We start from the raw sequence: 6,000 nt of genomic DNA, 5'->3' as shown, positions 1-6,000 counted from the left end.
TTAATCTTTCAAGATGCAGTGAGTATAGATTGCAAAAAGTTCCTAATTATATACAAATTTTACAAATTGTGTGGACTTTAGGTAGCTTAAAAGTATGTTCAATTTATTGTAGCCTAGAAAGTACTTTCTAAAAATTACAGTGTTCAATGATTTTTAGAATTTTATTTAATAATTATTCTTCACAATAAAGCTGGAAAAAAAGATCTAAGTTAACGTATTGAGTTATGGATATTTCCTATTTACGCTAAAGCCAGAATTAGAAACTTTAAAAGACATGTGATCATAACAAAAGGAGACATTATTAGAATGAATGAATAAATGAACAAACAATGAATATTTTTGCTAGACATTTTCCCAAATTTATATTTTCAATGGGGGAGTGGAGAGGTGCATATTTTGTGTCTTATATCTATCTCTTTTATTCTACAACAATTCTCCTTCCCTTTTTGGATGAGAAACTAAATCATTTTCAAAGAAGTGAAATGATGGAAACTATACATGGGTTAAAGATTTACTGTAAAGGAATAGAAATCAAGACAGTATGGTATTAGATAAAGGACAGACATAGATTAATAGATTACTGGAACAGAATAGAAGGTTCAGAATTGGTAGTTCAACTGATAGTCAACAAAGATGCCAAAGTAATTCAATGGAGGAAAAGTGGAAGAAGTGTAAAATGCATATGCAAAAAGAAACGAACCACAATCCATACCTCATACCATATACAAAAACCAGCTTGATATAGATCATAGATCTAAATGTAAAACCTAAAACAGACGGAAGACGGAGTCTCACTCTGTTGCCCAGGCTGGAGCACAGTGGCGTGATTTCAGCTCACTGCAACCTCTGCCTCCCGGGTTCAAGCAATTCTCCTGCTTCAGCCTCCCAAGTAGCTGGGATTACAGGCATGTGCCACCACGCCTGGTTAATTTTTTTGTATTTTTAGTGGAGACAGGGTTTTACCATGTTGGCCAGGCTGGTTTCAAACTCCTGACCTCAAGCGATCTGCCTGCCTCGGCCTCCCAAAGTGCTAGGATTACAGGTGTGAGCCACCACGCCCAGCAAAACTTCAAAATTTACAGAAGAAAGCATTGGAGAAAATATATGCGACCTGCAATTGAGTAACAATTTCTTAAATAGGCCATAAAAAGCACAAACCCTAAAAATTTTTAATTGATAACCTGAACTTCCTGAAAATTAAAATTTATTGATTTTCAAAAGACACAGTTATGGAAAAAAGGACAACAATATTTGAAAACATATATCTGATAAAAACTTGTGTTCAGAATATATAAAGAACCCTTAAAATGCAATACTAAGAGGACAAAAAGCTAGATTTTTTTAAATACACAAAAGATTTGAATAAACACTCCACCAAAGATATACAAATGGCAAATAAGCATATGAAAAGATGTGCAACACCATCATTCCTTAGGGAAAGGCAAACTAAAATCAGAATCAGATACTGCAAAATACTCACTGGAGTGACTAAAATTTAAAAGGCAATACCAAATATTGTCAAGAATGTGGAGCAACTGGCACTCCCATAACTGCTGTTAGGAATGAAAAATGGTGCAACCACTTTGGGAAGCATTTGGCAGTTTCTTATAAAACTACCTTTAACATATGACCAAGGCATTCCACTCCTAGGTATTTATCAAGAGAAATGAAAATATATTTTCACACAAAAACTTGTACTCACACGTTCATAGGAGCTTTATTCATATCTTAAAAGTGGGAACAACTCAAACGTCTATTGATTGATGAATACATAAACAAATTGTAGTATATTCATATGATGAAATAACACTATATTCATATGACATATGAATATAAAGGAACAAACATGCACTAACCTGGATGAATTTCAGTGCATTGTGCTAAATGAAAGCAGCCAGATACAAAAAGCCACATGCTGAATAATTCTATTTATATGAAATTCTAGAAAAAACAAAGTTATAGCAACAGAAATCAGATCAGTGGTTGCCTGGGGCCAGGGGCAGGAAAGGGACCCAAAGGAACTTTCAAGGTCATGAAAATGGTCTATATATGATTATGGTAATGATAACTTCACCATCAAAATCCATCTTATCAATTATACACTTGCAATTGGTGAATTTTATTGCATATAAATTATACCTCAACAAACCTGAATAAAAGAAAAATTCTTTTAAGGTGGTTCTGTGTACTGCCTATGCATCGTTAAATGACATATAAGTCAAGGTCCAATCAGAAAAACAGAAACCACATTATGTACTTCCGGAGAAGATTTAATTTAGGGGATTGGTTATACAGGTGTAAGAAGCTCAACGATCAAAGAGCACTAATACAAAATGTAACTGAAAGATGACAACTTGCAGTACCTGTTGCCACCACTAAAGCTGAGGGAACAAAGTGGAAGTGGCACTTTTGAACTCCGTGGAGGGGCTTGCCAGAGCTGTGGGTAAAACCATTGAGGAAGGCTTGACCCCAGGCTACTGCTGGTACCTCTGCAGACATGGGATATGACTGGGTTTTGCTGTTTTTGTTTCTAAGAGTCCTGCAAGAAGCAAGAAACTGCTGCCACCAGGAGGAAGGGCCACTATTGGAGCAATCCAGTCAAGAACAGGAAAAACAGGAAGGATTAATCCCTTTTCTGTCCCCTTTTTATCCTTCAATCACTAGTGGCTTCTGTTGATAGAACCTAACAGTGACCCAGCTATGAAAGGAGAAATTTTGTTTCCAGGGCCTAACCTCAGCATCAGAGAATAAATTATAGAAAGTATGGAAGTGGAGCTAAAAGACAACAGGTAAATGACATCTCTGGTTTAATCCTACCTTTAATCGTATAAAGATTAATCAGTGATTTTAGGTGACTTTAGCCTAATCCGTCCATTATTAAATTCTCAGTGTTTAATCTAATGGTTTTAACATCCATTGGTTACTGTTACCTAGATAATTTATTATTTTATTAGTGGCCACAACACAGAAATTTCCTGATTTTAATATCCTTTATGCATTTATTAGCTGGAATTCTATAAAGAAGAACATTCCCTCATCAACTATTTGGTTATTTTGAAATACAGTTTGTACAGGAAAGGCAGGAAAGATCTTGATTATTTCTCTTTATCATTTCAGAGTTGGGTTGGGTACAGTGGCTCATACCTGTAATCCTAGCACCTTGGGAGGTTGAGGTGGGAGAATGGCTTGAGCCCAGGAGTTCAAGACAGTGTGTTCAACGTAGTGAGACCTCATCTCTACTAAAAATAAAAAAAATTTAAAAATAAATTAGCTGGGTATAGTGGTATGTGCCTGTAGTTCCAGCTACTGGAGAAGCTGAGGCAGTAGGATCCCTTGAGCCCAGGAAGTCAAGGCTGCAGTGAACCATGCCACTGCACTCCAGCCTGGGTGACAGAGTGAGACCCCATCTCTAAAAAATAAAAATAAAAAATAAAAAAATCAGAGTCAATGACCTAGCAATCTCCAGAGATGATCAATGAGTTAGCAACCTTTTTTCATATTAGATACTCATCACTTTTGTTTATATATTTGATGTTTTTTAATCCATTGCAGGCATTATTCTTTTTTATATTCACATTGTCCCATCTTTGGTCAGTGGGAGCTTTCATGGTGTTTTTTGTTTTCTGGTTTTGTTTTTTGGTTCTGAATTATTCTTTTAAAAAATGTCAACTATGTCCAACTTAATACTATCCCTCTCATTTGACTCTAAATCTCTCAGATCCTGGAAGATATTTGCAACTTACAATGAACTTTGTCTACCTGGTAAGCTGCTAATAAACACCTGAATTGTCTGGTGTTGAGCCACTTTGTGGGAACATTCTTGAGATGGCCTCTCACCAGTGCAAACAAAGCCAATTTTAATTACAAACTTTAATATAGTTGTTCAACTCTAACCAAATCTCCAAGTCCAGTCTTGAATCTTGGGTATTATGTGTGTTCCTTAGGAGGGGAAAAATGACAATGCAAAAAGAATTATGTAGTCTAAAAAGGAAGCAACTTAAGATTTTGAATCAGTTTATGCTTTTCTAAAGTACAAGATCGTAAGTAATTTTCCTAAAGTGCATGCAGTTTAACTCCTACTGCTGAGATGATAACCATCACTATAGCACTTGAGAGCAACTAGAGAACAAAATATGGACCCTGGGACTCACTGAGGTCTCTTTTTCCTCCAGAAGAGTTAGTAGTCTTTTGATTTGCGTTAACATTGCTCTTTCTTTATATATAGGTACATAAATAGGTAAATAGCAGCACCTCCAACCAGATACCCAGGCCAGAACTTGGGGAGATTTCCTAGGCTTCTCCTGGTCCATTGAGTGCTATCAATTCTACTCCTTAAAACCTTTCCAATCCATGCCCTCTTTTCTTTTGCTGCACCACTAGTATGGTTTAGACTTCCAGCTTAACTGAAGTAGGTTATCGGCCTCATAAATGCCTCCAGTCTTCACACTTGAGTTTTTATTTTTACACTCCTATGAAAGTTATATTTGTGTGCTGGAGATGTGGCTAGGGTTTGTCTCACAGTGGAGGCAAGGAATTGCAAGTCAGAAATACGTTGCTACTTGGCTGCCTCTACTCTATTATTGTACACCTTGATGGCGAGGTTAAGTCCTCTTGTGGGGTTTGAGGGCCAGAATTTAATTTTCAGAGCTTTATTTAATGTCGGGAGGAGATTGGGTAATAAAATAAAATGCATACTGAGAATAAGACGGCCTTCTGACCTTTCAGGGTCTAGGGCTGTACAGTGTCTCAGGGTTGCTGCCAAACGGGCCATAAACTGGGCTGGATTTTTGATGAAAATATATGCTCTTTTTCATCAAATATAAATGTGGGAGAGGTCAGATAAAGAAAAAGGAGCATTAACCTTGAAAGCAGGTTAAAAGGAGCCTTTAGCTCCAGCCAGCTTTTTAAGAGGAAATTGCTGGGCAGGTGGGGGAGGGCTAGTTGCGGAACGAAACTGTAAGCTGGACCAGGTGTGAGGAGGGCAGGTGATAAAAGGATTATAGGGTGGGGGAGCGGAGGCTGAGGAAGAATTGGGACCTGGCTTGGCCTGGCTAGGAGCAGCCTGGGGAGGAGGAGAGAGGTCAGATGGGTCCGTAGAAAAGGAAGATTGGAAAGACTCAGCGAAGCTTGGGGTTGGGACTGAGGGAACAGGTGGGAGGGAAAGAAGGAAGATTTGGGATTAGTTGCATTGGGAAGAGAGACTAGGGAGGGACCGATGTGTAAAAGAATGCCTGGACGTTAGGCACCTCAGACCGTTTGCCCATTTTACAACAAGAATTATCTAGCTCTTGTAGGATGGAAAAATCGAAAGTGCCATTTTCTGGCTATTTGGAACCACTATCGAGCTTGTATTGGGGTCAAGCAGTGTTGCAGAAGAAAATAAGATGCTAGATTTTACGTCAGGTGAGAGTTGAAGAGGTTTTAAGTTCTTGAGAGCACAGGCTAAGGGAGAAGAAGGAGGAATGGAGGGTGGAAGGTTGCCTATAGTGAAGGAGGCAAGTCCAGAGAAAAGAGAGGGTAGAGACACAGAGAGAAGGGGTTGGGGGGTGCTTACCCCCAAGGAAAGTGAAGAGAAAAGAGAGGGTAGAGACACAGAGAGAAGGGGAGAAGGGGTAGGGGGTGCTTGCCCCCCAGGAAAGTGGAGAAGGGGTAGGGACATGGAAAGAAGGAGTGGGGGGTGCTTGCCCCCCAGGAAAGTGGAAAAGGGGTAGGGACATGGAGGGAAGGGGTGGGGGGGTGCTTGCCCCCCAGAAAAGCAGTGCTTGCCGCTAAAGGTGAAGGACCAAGGCAGGCATCCCTGCGTGGTCAGACACCTCTGAAACATGGGTGAATAATCAAGCAGGTGTCCCCATGTGATTAAACACCAAGGGAAGACTGTCTTCCCAAGTCCGTGACCGGCGTGGGAGTTTTGGGCTCATGGATAAAGCACGTCTCCTGTCTCCACCAGAAAAGGGAAGGAACTGAAATTAAGAGAAGGGAGAGATTGAAAGATGGCGCCAA

At 39.5% G+C, this 6,000-nt stretch overlaps 1 annotated feature.

Moving 5' to 3' along the window:
• Positions 2,449–2,508: a silencer, noted in NCBI's record as "silent region_19762". NCBI's record gives its function as "represses an Ori minimal core promoter by ATAC-STARR-seq in GM12878 lymphoblastoid cells {active_cell/tissue: GM12878}" and the evidence as "EXISTENCE:reporter gene assay evidence [ECO:0000049][PMID:35858748]".

This window comes from Homo sapiens, chromosome 9 (assembly GCF_000001405.40).
Source record: "Homo sapiens chromosome 9, GRCh38.p14 Primary Assembly".
Lineage (NCBI taxonomy): Eukaryota > Metazoa > Chordata > Mammalia > Primates > Hominidae > Homo > Homo sapiens.
The sequence above is the reverse complement of the archived record's forward strand: the minus strand, read 5'-3'. Positions and strand labels throughout refer to the sequence as shown.